At 42.6% G+C, this 22,814-nt stretch overlaps 1 protein-coding gene and 1 long non-coding RNA gene across 23 annotated transcripts in view; one reads left to right on the top strand and one right to left on the bottom strand.

Annotated features, from left to right (window-relative positions):
* The window catches only part of CACNA1D (calcium voltage-gated channel subunit alpha1 D), a 319,123-nt gene that overhangs the window by 152,138 nt on the left and 144,171 nt on the right, over positions 1 to 22,814 (bottom strand). For 21 of the 22 annotated variants that reach the window (NM_001128840.3, NM_001128839.3, NM_000720.4 and 18 more), the window contains 2 exons: positions 10,678 to 10,817; positions 1,321 to 1,463 (listed from right to left, as the gene is read on the bottom strand). In NM_001128840.3, the coding sequence (NP_001122312.1) occupies positions 1,321 to 1,463; positions 10,678 to 10,817 (283 nt within the window). Of the gene's footprint in view, positions 1 to 1,070; positions 1,464 to 10,677; positions 10,818 to 22,814 lie in introns of those variants that run through there. The other variant, XM_011534099.3, reaches the window with a different exon arrangement.
* On the top strand, positions 14,765 to 22,199 carry LOC124906242 (uncharacterized). Its single transcript, XR_007095913.1, has 3 exons — positions 14,765 to 14,880; positions 17,641 to 17,801; positions 17,948 to 22,199. It is a non-coding gene; the product is annotated as an uncharacterized LOC124906242 (long non-coding RNA).

Below are 22,814 nucleotides of genomic sequence, written 5' to 3'. Positions count from 1 at the left end.
TACTTTGAAATTAGATTAAGCTATAACAACTAAATCTGGAAGAACATGTTTGCTCACTGAACTTCTCATTTAATCGTGTTACACTTAACAGAGCCAGTCATTTCCAAGGTATTTCTGTTTTTCTCAATTGATTCCACACAGTTCTGTGGTTTTGACTTGTGCTGATCTTTTTCAATGAAAATAAATGAACCATCTGGAAAAACAAGTACACATAAAACACCACTTCCTACATTTTAAAATGTTAAATTTGGAAATTTTTTTTTCCAGAGGATTTTTGGTGCATTCTAAGTGCCAACAAATTTAATAAAAATTTCATGAAGAACTTCTGGAGAGGCAAAAAATGTGATCTGTGTTCTTCTGATGGCTTTATGAGTTGTGAAAAACAGGCACACCCTGCAATCCCATATTCTTGCTCAGACGCACCAGCCCTCAGAAAGGTGTTAGGACTTCTACCCATGGAAGTCCCCAACACAGGAGTCCTATCAGGGGCAGAGCCCAGTGAGGCAACCCCAAACACCTTATGGAAGGATAAGAGGCTGCAGCTGTTGGCCAGGGCACAGACAGGGCATCTATTCCAACTCAGGTATGATTTAACCTGGCCTGGGGGCCTGGAGCCAGAAGCACACTGGGGCCTGGCACTGAGTGGTATGGTAGGGCCTAACGGCTAAAACTCTCTCTCTCACCCACTGAGAGCCTCTGTGCTCCAGACATCCTGTTAGGGGCTCTCCCTCCATTATCTCACTCAGTTCTCACAACAGCCTTCAAGGCAGGTACTCCTGTGCCCTGTCACCAGGTAAGAAGCATTCATCCCTTCCCCCAGAGCTGGGTAGCACAGTTCCTGATAGTAGAGGATCTAATCAGAGTTTCCAGGAGTCCATCCCTCTGATGCTCCCCATTTGGGGAAAAAAAAAAAGGCACGCAGCTAAGTACTCCAACACCCTCATCCACAAACCCACCACTTTCAGAGGGGCAGGCCTGGGAGTGGAGGCGTGGATGGCAGCATGTTGCCAGAGAGGAAAAATAGACTGGAATTAAAGGCCTGAACCCAAGGTCTCACCCCAACACCTCACCTTGTCTTTCTGCAAGAGAAGATTCTTTCGTCCACAAAATCAGAATGACAATAACTGCCTGTCATTCTGTCATGGGGATCCAACGTGACAGTGCAAGCCAAAGTGTCCTGTCAACTGTGAAGGAGGCCATGGTCATCTGCTGACCCCTGGCTGGCACAGAGCAACTCACCTCAAAGCACCAGTGATTCTGAAACCCACCTGGAAGAAAAAACCAGCACACTCCTGACTCTAGGAAACAATAAGTGCTTACTGGGCACTCCTGACACTAGTCGAAGTGGTCGCAACACTCGAAAGGCACGGAGGGCTTTGACATCAAAGCCTCCAGATTTGCCGCTTGAGTGGTTCCCGCCTTCTGTTTCTTTGGTTAATTGTTCCAAAATTACACTAAACAATCTGAAAGAAGAGAAAGAGAAAGAAATGTTAGAGTCTGTTACCCCAGGGACGCAAAACAGGATGATAATCTTATTTATTTTTGAAAAGGGCTAATTCTGTGTGGCTGCTGCTTAAATAAAAGGAAGACAAAGACAAGAACTGGGCTGTGGAATTGGAATACAAACGACGCCATCTCCAAAATGATTGGGACAGGGATTAACCTCATCTGTTTTTACCGCAATGGAGCAACAGAGAGCAAGTCTGTTCCCAAAGAAGAGGGGACTCCCTGGGAACTCAATGATGACAAGTGGAACTGCTGCAAACTAAAATGACAACAGCCATCTTGGTGGCTACCATTCATGAGCACTTGCTATGTGCTAAGCACTGCACATACATTGTCACATTAATTCTCACAAAATGTTATGCAGCAGCAATTATGAACACCATGTTACACACGAGAAAACAAACTCGATAGGAATAAGTAGCTTGCCCAAGGTCACACAACTAGCAGCAACACATGTAAACACAGGCATGTGGACCCCACTAGAACACAGGTTCTGTAACAGCAAGGAGTTTTAGTCTGTTCTGCTCATTTGTGCATGTGGTCTGTTCTAGTCTAGTGCCTATTACAGTATCTGACACATAGGAAGTACTCCAAAAATATCTGATGAATCAATCAATGAATGACTTCAAAGTCTCACATCTTAATATGTTATATGTAGTCAATGTAGTCACTAACACACACACCCCAACCTTCACCTTCATAGGGATATTTGGAGGATGTAAATCACAGATACTAAGGAGCTGTGCAAAGGCTAAAGGCAGTTACCTAAGGTAAGGTATTAATATCATCATTCTCTCTCTTGAAATGTGAATAATATTGTACCTGGCAGCCACAATAAATTTTTTCCTAGTCTCAGAACGTTCAGATAAATCTATTTTCAGGCAATCTGCTCATTTAACAGTGACTTTTGCTCTTTTAAACAAATACTCTTTGGAATTATTGCTCGTTTTTCAGAGTAAGTATAAAATTTGCCCATTTCAAACAGCATCAACTCTGGCCAATCAGATTGTGGGAATGACTGGCCCAGCAACAAAGAAAAGGTGTCCAAAGTTTAATGAGCAGACAAAGCAGAAACTGCCCCCACTGGCGTGCCTCTGGATTGCCAAGACACCGAGTCCATAAAACATCGGGTGGTCTGATTACAGCCCTGATTGGGTATAGTTGTGTAGTTCTGGGGCATTTATAGATCAGCCCTTTGTTTTAATAACAGTACAGCAATTAGCAACGAACCCAGCCAGGAGGGAAAACAAGCCCGGTCTCTACCTTTACAAAGCTTCAGATGGTGAGCTCTCCCTAGTTATGACTGAGGAAATAGATCAAATTTATGACAGGCTTCTCTCTCTTCAGCATAGTTTTTAAAAGATTACTGTAAATCCCTGCAGCAAGGCTAAAGTGAAAAGTCTCTCCTCCAAAACAAATTCATAGCTTCAGAAAAACAAAGAAAAAGAAAGAAAGAAAACCTCAAACTCTTCTGAAATGTGCAAGCCACAGGAATTTTCACCCCAAAGGGTTAGCAAAGTAATTTATGCAGGTAGTGACTGAAGACTGCTTTCAAGTATCCATGTTTTGCAACATATACATCATGGTCCCTTTATTCCTTGTTCTTCAGCAATGTCCTTGAAAACACATGAAAAATGTCTCTCTCTTGCCACCAAAGAGGCCAAGTCAGAGAGAGAAGCAGGCTGTGTTCCCACACAGTGCAGGGCTGCAAGGGGCCGGGGCTGGTTTCCACTCCTAAGAGTTATGAGATATTAGGAAAGTCCCTCTCCTTCTCTGGGCCTCAGTTCTCCTCTCTATAAAATGACAAAACTGGATTTAACGACTCAGAGAATGACCTTTCCACTCTAATATTCCGTGATTCTGTTCCTCACCACCACGCCTCTCAAAAAAAAAAAAAGTGCCACGGGCCTGAAGAGATAAGGACAGGATGAGAAAGGAGTAACTGACTCTAGATTGTTATTAAAAGTTTACCCCAAGGTGGGAGAAAAAAGACAAGGAGCTGTCTAAACTGACTAAAGTCAGAAGCACCAGAATGAGGAGTCACATACAAGCCTTCACGTTCTTCAAAAAAAGCTTAAGTAATAGAGCCTGAATGCTTGAAATATATCTTTATTGAAATTTGGAGGCATGGGATAAGAGTTGGCTTAGATCAAACTTTTCTCTAAAGGAATAACTTCAGCTCTGGCAGACACACTGAGTCCTCTTGTGGTCACATTAACAGTTAACATTTTAGAAATATCAATTACTTTCTTAATGTCTTGACTATTGGGAATCTTGACAAAAGCAATAGGTCACTGTTGGAATGGAAAAATCCAGTGGATTGAGATACAGACTGTAGTTGGAAACTGTAGTGAGTAGGAATTTGATTCAAATGAAGACATCATAATTCTTCCTTTTCTTTTTTAAAACCTTTCTTCTGTTCTTTGACTCCAATTTCATACATATTTTAGATAAAAAATAATCTGATGTTCTGAAGTTTTTCTTAGAGTCCAGTTCTACTTCAGTTTCCTTTTTTTTGCATTTTAAATCACTTTATATTGCAGTTTAATTTATCTATAATAAAACACACTCATTTAAAGTGTACAATGGGTTTTGAAAAATGCATAAGCCTAAGCAACAAACACCATGATCAAGATAGGGAAGGTTTCAACATTTTAAATGATTCTCTTGTGCCCCTTTTGCACAGCCTTGTACAGAGCTTCCCTTGAAGCTCAGCCTTGAGTATCCAGTGATTGGCTGTTTATCGGTAGAGTTTTTTTTTTTCTTTTTCTAGAACTCATATAAATGGAATCACATAGTATGTTCTCCTGGCTCATCTTCTTTTGCTCACCATAATGTTTCTGACACTCATCCACGTTGTTTTATCAGCAGTTCATTTCTTTTTGTTGTTCTGTAATATCCCATTACACAAATACATCACAATGAGTTTATCCATTCGCCCGTTGAGGGATATATGGGTTGCTTCCAGTTTTTCTCTATTATGAATAAAGTTTTTTTGGGGACATGTGTTTTCATTTTTCTTGGATAAACACCTAAGAGTAGAACTGGTAATATGGTCATATGGTAAGTCTATGTTTAACACTGTAAGAAATGGGCGCATTTTTTCCAAAGTGATTATACCATTTTCCATTTCTACAAGTGGTGTATGAGAGTTCCAGTTGTTCCATATTTTGGTTAAGACTTGGTATGTTCAGTCTTTTTACATTTAGTAATACTAGTGGGTATGCAGTACTGTCACTGTAGTTTTAATTTGCATTTCTCTAATTACTAACAATGTTGAGCATCTTTTCAGATGTTTGTTGATGATTCACATATCTTCTTTTGTGAAGATCTGTTCAAATCTTTTACCTATTTGTTTATTGGGTTGTCTTCTTACTATTGGGTTGTAAGAGTTCTTTATATATTCTGAATACAAGTGTATGTATTGTGAATATTTTTCACAATCTGTGCCTTGCTTTTTCATTGTCTTCACACTGTCTTTTGAAGAAAAGTTTTAAATTTTGATAAAGTCAACATTTTCAATTACTGTTTCATGGCTGGAGCTTTTTGTGTCCCGAGACATCTCTGGCTACACTGAGGTCATAAAGATTTTATCCAATATTTTCTACTATAAATTTCATGGTTTTACACTGCTCAAAGAAATCAGACATGACACAAACAAATGGAAAAACATACCATGCTCACAAATAGGAAGACTCAATATCAATTAATTAGCCATACTGCCCAAAGCAATTTACAGATTCAATGTTATTCCTATCAAACCACCAATGACATTCTTCACATAACTAGAAAAAAAATTTTTTTAATTCATATGGAACAAAAAAGGAGCCTGGATGGCCAAGGCAATCCTAAGCAAAACAACAAAGCTGGAAGTGTCACACTACTTGACTTCAAATTATAATACAGGGCTGCAGTAACCAAAACAGCATGGTGCTCATACAAAAACAGACACACAGACCAACAGAACATAGCAGAGAGCCCAGAAATAAGGCCACACACCTACGACCATCTGATCTTCGACAAAGGTGACAAAAACAAGCAATGGGGAAAGGACTCCCTATTCAATAAACCATGCTGGGATAACTGGCAAGCCATATGCACAAGATTGAAACTGGACCCTTTTCTTATACTATATACAAAAATCAACTCAAGATGGATTAAAGACTTAAATGTAAAACCCAAAACTATAAAAAACCCTGGAAGACAACCTAGGCAATACCATTCTGGACATAGGAATGAGCAAGGATTTCATGACTAAGATGCCAAAAGCAATCACAACAAAAGCAAAACCTGACATATGGGCCTAATTAAACTTAAGAGCTTCTGCACAACAAAAGAAACAGGGTAAAAAGACAACCTACAGAATGAGAGACAAAGGTCTAATATCCAACATCTATAAGGAACTCAAACAACTTCTCAAGAAAAAAAGAAAAATCCCATTAAAAAGTCAGCAAAGGACATGAAGAGATACTATTCAAAAGACATACATGTGGTCAAGAAGCATATTTTAAAAAGTTCATATTACTGATCGTTAGAGAAGTGCAAATCAAAACCACGAGATACCATTTCACACCAGTTAAAATGGCTACTCTTAAAAAGTCAAAAAATAACAGATGCTGACGAGGTTGCAGAGAAAAGGGAATGCTTATACACTGTTGGTGGGAGTGTGAACTAGTTCATCCATTGTGGAAAGCAGTGTATCAATTCCTCAAAGAGCTAACAACAGAACTACCACTTGACCCAGAAATCCCATTACTGGGTACACACCCAGAGAAAAATAAACCATTCTACCATAAAGACACATGCATGTTAATGTTCACTGTGGCACTATTCACAATAGCAAAGACATGGAATCAACCTACATGCCCATCAATACAGATTGGATAAAGAAAATGTGATACACATACACCAAGGAATACTATGCAGTCATAAAAAAGGACAAGATCATTTCTTTTGTGGGCACGTGGATGGAGCTGGAGGCCATTATCCTTAGCAAACTAACGCAGGAACAAAAAACCAAATACCACACGTTCTCACTTATAAGTAGGAGCTAAATGATGAGAACACATGGACACAAAGAAAGGCCATTATCCTTTCTTCATGATAATGATTTTAATAAGGATTTACCTAGGTTTAAATCTAGCAACTTGCCGTTTGTTTTCTATTTGTCCTGTCCTTTGTTCCTTTTTTCTTCTTCCTTGCCTGTTTTGGATTTAGGGGTTTTTTTTAAATTCCATTTAATCTCTACAATAGGCTTATTAGATAGACCTGGGATTTTCTTTTTTAGTGGCTTCTCTAAGGCAAGTGTCAGTAAACATTTTCTATAAAGTGCCGAATAGTAAATATTTTAGAATCTGCAGGCCATAGGGTTTGTCACAACTACCCAACTTTGCCATTATAATACCAAATAGCCATAGGCATGACTGAATGTGGCTGAATTACAATGAAGCTTTATTTGCCAAAGTAGGCAGTAAATAAAATACTTTGTCAATGGTGGGGGAAAAAAAGGCTCAAACTAGATTTGGTCTACAGGTTGTAGCTCACCAATCCATACTCTAGGGTTTACAATATACATCTTAAAGGTATCACAGTCTATCTTCAGATAATATTTAATCATTCCAACTACTGTATAAGTACATCACAAGACCATATGGCTATTTCCCTGTTCCTATTCTTCATGCTACCATTGTCATGTACTTTATTTCTATAGAAGCTATAGACACCACAATACACTGTTATTATTTTTGCTTTAAATAATTACCTTTAAAGAAATTTTTAAACGAGGGGAGAAATATCTGTATATGTACCCACGTATTTACCCTTTCTGGTACTCTTCATTCTTTTTTGTGTAGAGCCACTTTCTGGTACTCTTCATTTCTTTCTGTGTAGATCCACTTTTCTACCTCGTGTCATTTTCCTTCAGCCCTGAGGAACTGTCTTTAACACTGATTGAGGTACAGGTCTATTAGTCATGAATTCTGAAACTCTAGAATGTCTGAAAAAATTTTGATTTTGACTTTAACTCTGAAAGATATTTTACTGAGTGAGAATCCTAGGTTGACATTTTTCCCCAGTACTTTAAAGATGTCTCTCTATTGTCTTCTGGCTTGCATAGTTGTTGACAAATAGTCTGAGATTTTCTTTTCTCTGTTTTAAGGTTTTCTCCTTATCTTTGGTTTTTAACAATTTGATTACAATTATGATGTGCTTGATGTGGCTTTTTTCATGTTTATTTTGCTCAGGCTTTGCTGAGCTTCTTGTGAGTTTCATTTTTCATCACATTTGGAAAATCTGGAGCTGTTTCTTCAAAATTTTTTTTCTGTCTCCTCTTTCTCTCCTCTCCTTCTGAGGCTCCAAATATATATATATGTTAGACCACTTGTTATTCCCCCACAGGCCACAGAGGCAGTATTCATTTTCTCCTCAATCATTATTCTTCATGTTATTGCCATATGTTCAAATTCCCTGATATTTTTTCCTTCTATAGTGTTTAAGCTGAGGTTAAGCCAAACCAGAGAATTTTTCATTTTGGATATATTTTTCATCTCTTAAAGTTCCATTTGTTTTTTTTTATATTGTCCCATCTTTCCTTACTATAATCAGGTATCCCTTTAAGTCCATAAATTTATAACAGCAGTTTTTAAAGCTTTGTGAAGTCCTTCTCTAATTCCATCATCTCTGTCATTTCAGGATCTGTTTCTACTGACGGAGTTTCCTCCTGGTTATGGGTCACATTTCTTCATATGTTCAGTGTCTGGATTTTGTTGTCTTCCTTTAAAGAATGTTGAGTTATGTTCTGGCAGGCAGTTCAGTTAGCATATCAGTTTGCTTTTTTTTTTGAAATGGAGTCTCACTCTGTCACCCAGGTTGGAGTGCAGTGGCATGGTTTTGGCTCACTGCAACCCCTGCCTCCCAGGTTCAAGCGATTCTCTTGCCTCAGCCTCCCATGTAGCCGGGATTACAGGCATGCGCCACCACACCCAGATAATATTTGCATTTTTAGTAGACAGGGGGTTTCACCATGTTGGCCATGCTGGTCTTGAACTCCCGACCTCAGGTGATCCACCCACCTCGGCCTCCCAAAGTGCTGGGATTATAGGCATGAGCCACCATGCCCAGCCTAGTTTGCTTCTTTTCAGACTTCTTTTCAAACATTGTAAGCAAGGATTTCAGGTAGTCTCTGTACTCTAGAGCAGCAATTGGCAAACTTTTTCTGTAAAAGGCCAAATAGTAAATATTTAAATATTTTAGGTTTTGTAGACCTAAACTACTCAAACTGAACTATGTAAACAAATGAGTGTGGCCATGTTACAATAAAACTTTATTTATAAAAATAGGTGGCAGGCTAGATGGGCTAGGACTTAGCCCATTGGCCACAGTTTGCCAGCCCCTGCTCTAGAGCCAGTTTAGCACTACTACCAGTGGCCCTGTGGGGTCTCTACTGACAGTCCAGGGTGTTCAATGAGGTCTTTCCACCCTAATTAGTCAGAATTTGAATGCCTTCCAGTCCTTTGTGAGCCCTGGTTATTATTCATTTTACAGCTCCCTGATCTTTCTCTTTTCCCTAGTAGTGGTCTTTCCTGGCCTCATGGACTCACAACTCCGTGTAGGCGTAGCTTAGCCCTCAGCCAAAACTGAAGAGTACTCTAAGGCATATTTATGAAGCTCTTTCTCTAAATAGCTCCCTCCCCTCCCCTATTCTGCCTCCCCAAACTCTTGTCTGTCTCCTTAACTCAATAAGACCACCATGCTCCACTTGGTTCCCTGTCCTTGTGCTGTGCTGTAGTGTGAAAAATGTCTCCAGGCAGAAATATGAGGTGATCATAGCACGGTGACGCAAGAAATGGGGCTAAGCATCTCCATTCCTAGCTGAACAAAAAGTCCAGTGGCAGAAGAGGCACAGCCAGATTATCCCAGAACCAACATACCTGCAAGGCTTCGGCTTGCCATTCCTCGACAGAGTCCACCAAATACAGGAAAGTACGGCACATATCTGCTACCTGTTCATTTTGGTACACTTCTTTTGCAATGATGCCTTAAATGACAATGTATTGGCGGCGGGGGCGGTTTGAAAAGCTAACTTGTTTCCCACAAGTCTAATTGTCCCACTGGGCAATTAGGATCTCATATTAACTTCCTAGGTTGAAAGGACCTAGGAAGGCCCACAACCAATTCCACTCTCCCAATACCCAGCAGAATTAGTCTCCAATGAAAAGGCAAAAGATTCATGATAAAAGGATAATCCACAAGAAAAATCACCTTGCTCAACTGCAAAAGGCAGTTCACTGAAGTCATGAAGATGAAAACAGAGAGGCTATTTACAGAAACATAATTTGAGGAGCAACTCACTTTACAGCTAGCATAACTAAGACTGGGAAAAAGGATATATCTTATCTTCCTACATGGGTATTTGGTCCAAAGACCCAGCATTCCTGTAACATGGATTCATTTTTCTCTTCCTGGCAACATTTCCAGGTGTGGAAGGACTAAAATAACACAGGCCACTATTTTTTATTTTAACATTCTCCTTTCACTAAAACTACTGATGTCTTCTTCCTGCAACAGGATTTTGGTGGAACACCTGCTTCTCTGCATTTTCTAGCTTATTTCATTTTATGCCAGATACGTGACATTATCCAGACACTTGTTTCATTATTTAAAATGGAACAGTAGTATGCCAGAGTTTCTCCCGCAAGTCAGCAAAAAAAAAAAAAAAAAAAAAAGAAAATTAATAGCTTTGCTCAAGGGATGTTAAATAGCAGAGTACCTTACTGCTATGAAGGTTTTATTACTTTTTACTTTTTTTAACTTAACATTGGCACTAAGTATTAAAAGCTCTACTCATTTGACTCTAATCACCAACAGGGTTGGTCTATTTCTGGAGATCCAAGACCGTGTTAGGTAAAGCCTCTCATATTAGGAGTTCAGACTCCCTTCTATAACATGTTACTAAAAACGGGAGTAACAACGAGAGAATTTCAAACTAGTATCTGCCCAGAGACTGACAGCAGCATCACCAGCCTTAAAAGAACTCCTGAGAGGTTCTGGTGCAACAGCTGGCATAAAAGAGCAACCACATTCCCTAAAAAGACTGTTTTGTTACCACCACCCCCCCCAACCTCCACCTCCCATTTTCCAAATCAACATTTCCCCAAAGTAAAAGAGACTTACCCTACTATTACTATAACAAAATCCAGTAAATTCCATCCATTCCTAACATAAGCATTAGGATGTAGCAATAATCCATACGCTATAATCTTCAAAAATGTCTCGACTGTAAAAATAATCAGGAAGGCATATTCTACTTTTTCCTGTGAAGAAAAACAAAGAAACATACCAAAAAAGCAGGGGCAGGGGAGGAAGAGGAGACAGAAAAAGGAACAGAGATTAGAATCAACACCTTAGACATATAAGCATTTCCCTCCAAACAAAGTTTCATTATGAGAAATGGAACAATTACACTGCCCCTGGGCCAGGAAGGCATTTACATTCTAACACTGAATTTCTCATAAGCAACTACGTGTGCAACACTTTTCGTTCCAGGCTGCATGACTGCATTTTGCCAACTGCCCCAATGCGTGTGATGAGTCTGCCTAGGACATAACAGGCATGTTTGTTATTTGCACACATTTGCAAAACGCAGCATGCTTTCCTCCTGAGGTTGCCAAATCAGGCCCAGAAAAGCACAAGGGTACAACAAAGATTCCAATGGTGTCTTTGAACAGAAGAAATTCATCCTCTGGAAAAAATGAAGATGCATCTGTTTTGACCCTCTCTTCCTCTTGGGTTTATGTCTGAGTTCGAAGTCACAGTCAGCTTTGTCACTGAGTAGCAAGGTAACCTTGGACAAGTCCTTCTCCTCCTCTGGATATAAGTTTTTGCATCCACACAATAAGGGAAGTAAATTCAGGATGGCAAACACCCTGCCTGCTTATTGGCATGCCGCCTCTCCCGGCTGAACTTGTGACAGGTCATCATGCACTTTCCCAGGAAACCTAGGCAGAGCCTCTGACCTTTCCTCTAGTATCCATCCCAGCAGCCATGCCCATCTGACTGCCACAGACCTCACAGGTGCTGCTCACGGGCTAAATGACTCGTAGAACCTTTCCAGTTCCAACCCATGCAACTCCATGAGCTGTGGAAAACATACCAATCAGCAAGTCTAAAAACTTTGACTCCTTCCTCTTTTACAAATGTTTTCTTTATACAGCTTCAGTTTCAATAGAAACATGGACCAACAGAGATGTGTGTAATTAACTTTGCAAGAGGCATTCCTCGGCATGAAGCTACTTAAATAACAAAGTATCATCAGCAACTGTAACTTTCCAATATGAACTATAGAGTCCTATACTAATATCAGTGGGACCCGAAAAGTTACCAATACCTTAGAGAAATGGAGGTCATGAAATTCACTCATTAAAATGCCTAGGGCAAGAGGTCAAAATAAAATAGGCTCAGGAAACACGTGAACACCACTTCTAAATGACAGGCACTGTACCAGGAGCCAGAAAAATGTCCCCACTATGGTACCTGTCATTTAGTCTGTTGGTGTGGGGGGGAGGTGTGTGGAGGGGGAAGTTTTGAATGTACACACAGAGAATTTCTCAAGAGTCACAAAAGTAGTAACTGACAAGAGCGATTCTCTATCTTCAGCCCTCCCATCAGGCCACCCCTGCCTTTTCACAACGGATTCCAGGGGGAAAAAAAGCACTTTGCTATATATTATCACTATTATATATTTTTATGCAATAGGCAAATGTGTATTTGAAAATAAATTTTATGTTTCTGAAGAGAACACTTTATATTCAGAAACATTTTTAAAAACACAAATTTTAGGATGATTCCCATAAGCCTGACCCTTTGAGGAACCGTCACCTATTAAATGTTTGCTTGCAGTATCCCCAACACCCTTGTGCATTTAAATGGAAGCCTTGCCTGTGCTGCCCCTGGGCTCCGGCTGTCTGCTGCCAGAATCGCTTCCCCTCTGTCACCGGCCGTGCCAGGCAGAACATCCCTTTGTCGTGCCACAGGTATCCTCCCTCTTGACCACCATGCAGCCATGGCCATGCATCCCAGTCTTTGCCCCCATTCTCCACTCTTCACTGGTCATATAACAGGGCTTCCTTCCAAGGACAGGGCTGTTGTGGTTCCTGTCATTTCTAAACACTTGCCCTCCAAAGCTCCCTTTGCTCCTCAGAACACCATTATAACAGTCTAGTGAACGAATTGTGTGTGTGTGTGTGTGTGTGTGTGTGTGTGTTTTGAGAGTTAGCCAGCATCAGTGTGTTTATAATTTAATTTAGAAAGCCTAGCTCATCTCCAACCTCTATACTCATGCCCCCTCTAGACTTCAGACCAGTCCTGTTCTTAGCCAGGCTCATCCCATGCCCCCATGCCTTCTTCCCCCATGCCCTTCATACAGCTACATGAAATGCCACGCTCAGAGCTACGAGGATGCCCTTCCTTGCTTACTGTCCAGATTCCCCGTTGCCCCATTCCCTGCCATATCCCCCAGAGGAGTGCTTGCTCGGGAGGCATGCGAGGCGTGGCTGCTGGAGGAACGATCACACACTCAGGCCACTGCGGTATTCTGAGGAGCAGGGACCAGCATTGCCACTGGATAGAGGGAAAGATACAGGAAGGCCTCAATGAAGCCATAACATTAACTCTGAAAGCTCAAAGAAAAAGGAACTCTGTTACTTCAACCAGAGGCAAAAATCCCTGAAAATGCCAACCCACAGTGCTCACATCAGACCCTGACCACCAAAGGCAGATTGTCAATATGTTTGAGACTTAAGAGTTCTAAGGGAACCAGAGAAGCTAAAAACAGCACACTGATTTTACAATTCATCCCTTTTTATCCTTGCTGCTTTATTTACTAGGCCAGAGAGAAAAAAAAAAGCTTTTGCTGCCATCAATATTCATAGCAGTTACATACCTACGTCAAGACAGCACACTATACTTCAGAGCAGAAAAACAAGGCAGAGAACAGACAGTACACCTCCCAAACAAAGCTTGTTTTTCCTCTCTGACTTTTATTTAGAAGAAATTTTGCCACAATAACACAAGGGCCATTAGTATAAATGAACTGTTTAACGTTCTTTTTCCTTCTCCTTTGCCCTCTCCCTGCTTTTTAAAGAATTTGGTTTCTCTTTCCAAAATCCTTAGTGAATTATTTGATGGGATTCTTCATAAGAAATACAAACTTCCTTTAATGCAATTCTTTATTACAGAGATTCTACCATGATGCCAACTGAACAATCACAGCCTGGAGAGCAGGCAGACCAGTTTGTCTAGAAGCCAATGTCATCCCGGTCCTCAATCCTGCCACTAAAAAGGAATCCTATGAAACAGGTATCCCTCCACATTCAACAAATGAAGTATTATTTTTAAATCTTGCAAAACGTCGTTCAGGAGAAGTGGGATAATTATTCGCCTTACAAAAGGATTGTTCATTTGAGAAAAGAATGTTGAATTAACAATTTGAAAAGGAAGCCAACAAGAAAGTCAGGTTCCTAACAGGCAAGGTGGGACTGTGGGCCCAGCCAAAACAGCTAGGTGAGAGGTGACACATAGAGGACACTGAGGTCTGTGGCCACGACTGATGGAAGCACAGAGGAAGAAGCACTGTCAAGGATGAAAGACTGGGATGGCAGAAGAAGGGGCCAGCAGGAACCCTCTAGAACCATACATGAAATGAGGCGTCCCTGGTATAAAAGGCCTGAGCAGGAGCTGTACCTTAACAGCCCTTCCCCAGGTACAGGGAAAGAGTAAATGATTCTTGCATCTCATCCCCCTCTGTGTGCCAGGCAGAGTCACACCTGTGGCACTCAGTCACCCACCAGCAGGGATTTCTTCTCCCTGGCAGGAGATCCTGAGTAGGCAGGGCCAGTCAAACCTTCCTTTAGAAAACAACGTCCAGAAACTACCCTGTATATGGACGGATGTCCCCCCACTCCCTCCCCCTACCCCGCCCACGAGAACTCAAGCCACTAGAGAAACAAAGGCTGAAATCTAATTCTAAAACCTGATGTGTCTTCTTTAAACAGTGAAATTTCACCAACAGGAGAGGCTCTAAATCAGTAGTCTCTAAACTAGTTAATAATCTCCAAACCAGTTAATGCTGTACAGAATCTTGAGAAACAGAAACTGTCAACTAGCAGGAGGTGGGAGATGCCAAAATCCTTCATTAGACTTGGTACTTTCCTTTCCTATTTTAAGAATCCTCTTATTAGTGCTGTGGCATGAATACTTGTCCATCTGTCTATCCATCTATCCCCGAGCACCTGCATCCTTCTCAGCAAAGCCAGAACCCTGTCCTCACAGAGCTCCCAAGCTGCTGTCAAAAGGTGAACAGAGGCTTGATGCAGCCAGGTAAGAGTCACTTCTCTGTTTTGCTCTTCCACCCATGTGCCCCAAGGCTTTGGGAAGGCTTTCTGGCTTATACTCTGCCAGAAGTCCCCCTCTCCCACTGACACCTTCCATTCCTTCTGTGCCCTGCAGTCCTGGATTCTCTATTGAAAGGGGCCCTCTCTTTGTGTCTTTAACTGTAGCATCAGACATATGTAAGGCACTCATAGGTGCTACTAGAAAGCAGAGAAGAAAAAAACCGAAAGGAATAAAGCTATAGATCTAGACATGTAGAGGCTATTACAGCATGAGGTTTTATGATCCTAGCATATGTATTTAAAAAACAAAAACAAAAAACAGGATACATATGTATGTATCTAAGTTACCATAAACCCTTTTTAGAACAAGCCTGAAATAAAGAGTCAAACTGCTAGGACAACAGCTGATCTCAATATCTCACCTGGCCTCCCCTGCTATCCCAACCTGCAGCTTCTTGGTTAAGGATCTCATCCTTTCATCCTTGCCTAGATTCCTCTTCCAACTTTCCCACCTCTCCTCTGTCAGAGTGCTTCACTCCAAGTCATGGGCCAACCTGCTCCCTCCCACACATGCCAGCCACCTTCCCACCTCCATGTCTTTGCCGTCCCTGCTTTATCCACCAAGGGTGCCTGCCCCATGGACATGAACTTCCCTCTTTAGATGAATAAGCATAGAGCTCTGTGATACAGGGCCAAAAACGCACCCAGCGGGGTTGAATGCAAGGAACACAGGGCTTGGAGCCATAGATCTGATTTCTGCTAGTCCCAACTCAGCCACTGATTCATGCTGTGGCCCTGGGCCACAGTGGAACCATTCCACATCCTGTTCCCTTCTTTCTAAAACAGTCTCCCCAACCCTCTTTCTCATCAGACTACACTCTGCTTGCCCTTCAAGGCTCAGCTTAAATGACACTTTCTCAGCAAAACCTTTACTGACCTCCCAGACAAAATTAGAGCCTGCTGTTACATGCTGTCAAAGCCCATTATACTTTTCCACAGCCGTAATTCACAATAGAAATTTAAATTTTAAAAAATTACCTCTTTAACAGAAAGCCAAGAAATAAATCCAGGCATTTATGGTCAACTGATCTTTGACAGAGGTGCCAAGAATACAGAGTGGGGAAAGGACAGTCTCTTCAATAAGGGGTACGGTAAAACTGGACATCCACATGCAGAGGAATGAAATCAGACCCTTCTCTCACCCCATATACAAAAATCAGCTCAAAATGGATCAAAGACTTAAACATTAAGACCTAAAACAGTGAAAGTACTACAGAAAAACAGAGTAAAAGCTTCTTGACATTAGACAGGGCAAAGATTTTTGAGATATGAGTCTGTAAGCACAGGCAACATAAGCCAAAATAAACATATGGGATGGCATCTAACTAAAACGCTTACACACAACAAAGGGAAAACCACCAGAATAAAGAGACAACCTATGAAATGGGAGAAAATATTTTTAAACCATTCATCTGATAAAGGGTTAATATCAAAAATAGATAAGGAACTCAAACAACTCAATAGCAAGAAAACAATCTGACTTTAAAATGGGCAAAGGACCTGAACGGACATTTCTCAAAAGAAGACATACAAATAGCCAAAAGATACATGAAAAAGTGCTCAACATCACTAATCATCAAGGAAATATAAATTAAAACCACAATGAGCCATCACCTCACATTCATTGGAATGGCTATTGTCAAAAAGACAAGTGATAAGTGTTGGCAAAGATATGGAGAAGAGGGAAGCTTTGTACACTGTTGATAGGAGTGTAAATTAGTACTGCCACTATGGAAAACAGTTACAGAGGGTCCTCAAAAAATTAAGAGTGGAACTACCATATAATGCAGTGATCCCACTTCTGGGAATGTATATACAAAGGAAATGAAATCAGTATGTCAAAGAAATGTCTGCCACGCCCATGTTCTTCATAACATTATTCACAATAGCTAAGACATGGAATTAACCTCCATGTTCATCAATGGATGAATGGGTAAAGAAAATGTGGTATAGATACACAATGAAATACTATTTAGCCTTTAAAAAGAAGGAAATCCTGTCATTTGCAATAACATGGGTGAACCTAGAGGACACTATGCTAAGCTAAATAAGCCAGGCACAGAAAGGCAAATACTGCATGATCTCACTTATATGAGGAGTCTAAAAACACTGAACGCACAGAAGCAGAGAGAAGAATGATGATTACCAGAGGTGGGGGTCAGGAAGATTGGGGAGATGTTGATCAACATATAAAAAATTTCAAAGTATACAAAAGCTAGAAAGAGTAAGTTCAGGAGATCTATTGTACAACATAGTGGCTATAGTTACAACAATGTATTGCATACTTGAAAATTGCTAAGACTGCATTTTAAATTTTCTCACCACAAAAAAATAAGCATGTGAGGTAATAGATATGTTAATTAGTTTAATTTAGCCATTCCGCAGTGTATGCATATATCAAAACATCATGTTGTACACCCTAATTATGTAGCTATTTGTCAATTTTTAAAAATTGCCTCTTTAATATTTGTCTCCCCTAATAAATTATCATTCCTTTAAAGCCAGAGATCATTTCTATTTCATGCATCATTGCATTCCCAAGGCCTGTCACAAAAATAGATATTCCGCATTTATAAATGAATAAATAAATGGGCAAAATGAGAGGTTTTGACCAACTATTATTAAATGTCCCTTCCCACTAAGAAGTTCTATGATACCAGCGCCCCCTGGTTTTGCTCTGTTCCAGGAAAACATCCATGAGTGCATGTCAGGGAAAGGCTCAGCACAGCCACCTGCTCCCTCATCATGGCCCTCCCTGCTCCAGGCAGGGTGTTCCATCCAGAAGAGGAGCCTGCACGAAGGCAAGCTGTTCAGGGCGAAGAGCAGTCCACATGGCTGAAGCACAAGGTATGAGGACAGGTGGGAAGGGAAGGGACAGGCTGCAGGGACACAGTGGAGGGCAGACACAAAGGGCCCCAGGTGCCACGGTACGGGGTTTGGTCTTCGTTTCTCATGTGTGAAATGAACAGACTAAATCAGATGATCTCTTCCAGTTGGAAAACAACAATTGTCTATGACCTGGTGAGCAAAGTCTCCAAGGACAGGCTTCACAGGGAGGCTCTGTGAGGGCGCAGAGACCCCAGGGAAGAGCTGACCAAGCAAGAACAGCAAGAACCGAGAGCAGCGGCTGCTTTTTCAAGTGGCTGGGTCGATTGAGGCCATCGTGCACATTCAGGCTGGGCTTGCTGAGACACCCTCCCACTCACGACCCTACACGTTTCAGGAGGTGACCCAGGGGAGCCGCAGCGCTATCACACAGCTTCTACAAGCCGATTCAACCTCTAGTAAAATTTTGGTGGGTAAACCACAGGAGGCTGGTGGGCAGGCAGGCGTCGGCTCAGAGATGCTTGGCTGTAAATAGAGGTCATTTTTTCCCCTGCAGGTATTAATGAAGTATGCACTTAGAGGAACAACAATGGGTAATTTAACACCACATTTACATGAAGAAACTGGCTACAGTAGTCTGTTTGCCCTCATCTTTCTTCACCTTCGGTTTAAAAGTACACATTTTATGTGACATTTGTGTCCCCCAAGTCTAATGCTAGTCTCGACAGCTGTGTTGCCCCGTTTGAGACATTTACCCCTCCTGATTCCCAGTTCTTTCATCCATAAAACAGGGACAATCATTCTTGCTTTGCCTTGCCCACCAGTGTTATGGTAAAAGCCAGATTAAGTAACAAGTTGGATAGAGCTGTGCAAACTATAAAGCACCTCACAATGGAAGGCTCGCCCTGACTAAGGATAGGTGAGACAGCTCCCCAGCCTGTGGGAAGTGTGAATACACTTCTCCCTGTGGATGCAGACTCTCTGAAGAGGTTTCTCCTGAGATCCCACGACAGTTCAGTGACCCCACAATCACCCAGGTGGGGCAAGGCCCTGGCCCAAGATGCTGTCTAGAATGTGCCCAGGGATGACAAATGGAGGTGGCCAGCAGGGTGACCTGGTGGACCACTCTACGGAGCCCAGCTTCAAGGACATGCGGTCTGTGGGAAGAGGGCAGCAGCATGCCTGGGGCGGCAGAGGCTGGCAGGGAGCTCTCCTCCTCACCGGCAGAGCAAAGGCAGCTTCTGCTTTGCTGCCAAGACTACAACAGTTAGCCTGGATGGGGCAGTAATGATGGCCTTGCCACCCAGCAAAACTCCAAGGGTAACAGCACCCTGACCTTCCCCCAGGAACTGCTCCATTCCTGCTCTCATCCCAGGGGCAATAAGAGTTGGCATGCAGCCAAGGTTATTGGTTCGGGGATAGGCATAAGCTCCAACCCACACCAACCGGGTCCGAAGAGAGCAAGTCTGGGAGCTTTCCCTGGGGTAACTAGGTAAGAAGTTCTTTTGTTGGCTGGATTCAGCCCTGAGAGACCACAAGCCTAGAGTTGCCAGGGGGACATAGAGATGAAGAGCTAACACCCACCAAGGGAAGCCAAGCCAAAAAATGAAGAGAAAGTGTGCCAGTCAGCCAGCCAGCCAGCGAAACTCAGAAGCAGGCACCTGGCCCTGAGGCCACTGTATGCATCCCTGGATCAAGTTGAGCCTGAAGTCAAAAATTCCCTTCTCTCCCCTCCCCTCCCCATTTGGGCTTTTCAGTTATAAAAGCCACCAAATTAAGCTAGTTTGGGTTCAGTTTTTGTCACCTGCAAATGAAGGAGTCCCACCTAAATATTAATACAATGGGCTGTAGGATCACTCCATGTCTCTAAAATGTTGAGGTATCTGAGAGAGAGAATCTTCAGTAGCTCCTCATTTCTCAAGAGACAACATCTTTGATGACTCCCTCTGACCCACAGGTTCAGCGGTGGTTCCCTATACACAGGGCCTCCGAGCCCTATAAGTCACTGCCTCTGGGAATTCATCTAGGCTCAGCTTTCCAAATTCCCTCCTTCAATCTTTTCCGTTCTCTGTTGCCATCTTCAATTTCAACTGGTTTCCTGTGCTGTGCACACTCTTGTAAACTTGACGCTTCAGACTTGCCTTCCTTCCCATCCCGTGCATCCCAGGGACATGGACTCTGAGCTCCCTTGGCAGAGGGTACATTCTATGCTTGGCAGCCTCCCACTTCCGCACCCAGCTTCACCTCTAAGGCACTGCCCACTTCCATCCCATCTCGCCTGGCAGTTCAGGGACCCTATTTCAGCTCAATTCAACACCACTCACTGGTTATCTGCTCCATACCAGGCATGATCCTGAGCACTGGGGATTCAAAGATGGCTACAACACTGTTCATATCCTCAAGGAGGATGGCAGATAATATATAAACATTTCAGGACAGCAGACAAGAATCCAAGCTCAAGCAGAGTACTAGGAGTCTCCTTTGGGGCGGAGAGGATGGAGCAGCTAATCGTGTCCGGAGCATCTGGGAAGGCTTCTTGAGAAGCACAGGACTGCATCACATCTAAATTCCTCCATCTGGCATCCCCGAGGACCTCTGCAATCTGTCTACACTCAACCTACCAACAACCAACTGACGTCTGTCATGGGTCCAGCGAGGACAGTGCCCCTGCCCCTCCTGATGCCCCTTCCTCCTCCACGTGCCTCCAGTCCCTCAGCTCCCACAGCCTCCCACATATCTGCATACTCACTGGAAGGTACGGTCTTCACGTCTGCTCTTTTCCAAGACTGAAAGCACTCCTGTTTGTCTAAATCCTGCTTCACCCTTTAAGGGAAGACTAAGGAGTTTCATTTCCTCTGAGCATCATTTTTCCCCTTTTGAAAGCCTAATGTACTTAGGATGAACCAATGACCACCACATGCCTGCTGCTTCTAACCCCCATCCCCCGGCCATAACAGACATTCCCACTGGTCATCAGACGGCACTCTTTCTCCTGGCACCCTGAGGCAGTGTCACATGTTTTGCCATTCAGGCAGCACCCACTGGGTAGAGTTGGCATCCAAGTTGAAACTGTTTGCCATCCAGAGCTAAAAATTATATCACATGTTTTGACATGTCATCATGAAGGTAAATCATATCAACAAACAATTGAGCACCAACCAAGTACAAGAGCAGAGAAGGGTTGGGAAGGTGAACCTATTGATACACTGTCTCGTATCATTTGCAGCTTGTCAGTGCCTTGAGGACAAAAACCATATTCCATCTACCTCTGCAGAATCCCCTCACAGTACCAAAGCAGAGAGCTGGGTACTTCACCTCACTAGATTCCAAGATCCCATCTCTACACAAAAGGAGAAACAGAACCATTATCTCGGGCTACATTTCTCAGCACCTGGGCCAGCAATCTTGTCTTAGTTGTCACCCAGGCCAGAATCCCATTTACCCCATCCTAGTTGGCACTGCAGAGTTATGCTTTATTTCTAAACCATGTCAGGCCTTTGCATCCCATCCCAATGGCTCAGGTAAAATTGGATGGCAATGGGAATGTGCCCTACATGGGCTGATCAAAGTCATACACTGTCTCCCTGGGAATCTATGGAGTTCAGGTCAACCCTCCAATATGTCTACTTCCTTTGCCAAAAAGTAAGAAATGGTGGCTGGGCACAGTGGCTCACGGCTGTAAACCCAGCACTTTGGGAGGCCGAAGCAGGTGGATCACCTGAGATCATGAGTTCAAGACCAGCCTGGCCAAACACGGTGAAACCTATCTCTACTAAAAATACAAAAATTAGCTGAGTATGGTGGCACGAGTCTGTAATCCCAGCTACTTGGGAGGCTGAGGCATGAGAATTGTTTGAACCCGGGAGGCAGAGGTTGCAGTGAGCCGAGATAGCACTGCTGCACTCCAACCTGGGTGAGAGCGAGACTCTGTGTCAAAAAAAAAAAAAAAAAAAAAAGTAAGAAATGAGTGAACATTTCAAAATGGCAGGAACTGGTTAAGTTTAAAACTGAACACTTTCATTTTGACAAGAAAGCAGTCATTCTTTTTCTCCATTAACAGAGATAAAGAAAAGCTTTTCAAATCTGTATATGGCTACGTTGATTGACGTCTGAGTTAAAAATGAAATCTCAGCCGGGCGCGGTGGCTCACACCTGTAATCCCAGCACTTTGGGAGGCTGAGGTGGGTGGATCATGAGGTCAGGAGATGGAGGCCATCCTAGCTAACATGGTGAAACCCCATCTCTACTAAAAATACAAAAAATTAGCTGGGCATGGTGGCATGCACCTGTAGTCCCATCTACTCAGGAGGCTGACACAGGAGAATCACTTGAACCCAGGAGGCGGAAGTTGCAGTGAGCCGAGATTGTGCCACTGCACTGTAGCCTGGTTGACAGAGCGAGACTCCATCTCCAAAAAAAAAAAAAGAGAGAGAGAGAGAAATCTCATTTCCCTGTTGCTCAGTCATGTTCCTATAAACATACTACTTGCATGCCTGGACAGTTATCACTTTCCAACCTCTTATCTCGGTGATTTCCCAAGCTACAGAGTAAGATAGGTGGAGAATTTTTGTATTTTTAGTAGAGACAGGGTTTCACCATGTTGGTCAGGCTGGTCTTGAACTCTGGCCTACACAACAGAGCAAGACTCCGTCTCAAAAAACAAATAGGCAGAGAAGGGGTTATTTACATTTCACAGATGAGGTTCACAGGCACTGAGTTATTTTTGCTACAGTCAACGTGAACAATACAAACAGCAATTGTGCCCTCTGGTTTGAAGAGACCTGGCTCCACCCACCTGGTGGGGAAAACTACAACTCCACCCTGGTCCCATGCCTGCCAGCTCTCACCTGGACTCCTCTGTTGTCTCACGTAAGTCACATCTAAGTATGACCTCAGCTGCTCAAAGGACTGCTGAGAAAGTTAGTCAAGTTATCCAACCAACACTCAGCAAACCGAGGACCCATCTGGGAGGTGGAGCCACCCTACCCAATCACAGCTGTTGGGAGTGTATCTGTCCCAGTGGGTGGCACAGCT

Source organism: Homo sapiens, chromosome 3, assembly GCF_000001405.40.
Source record: "Homo sapiens chromosome 3, GRCh38.p14 Primary Assembly".
Taxonomy (NCBI): Eukaryota; Metazoa; Chordata; class Mammalia; order Primates; family Hominidae; genus Homo; species Homo sapiens.
Note: the sequence above shows the minus strand (reverse complement) of the source record. Positions and strands in the feature narration are given on the sequence as shown.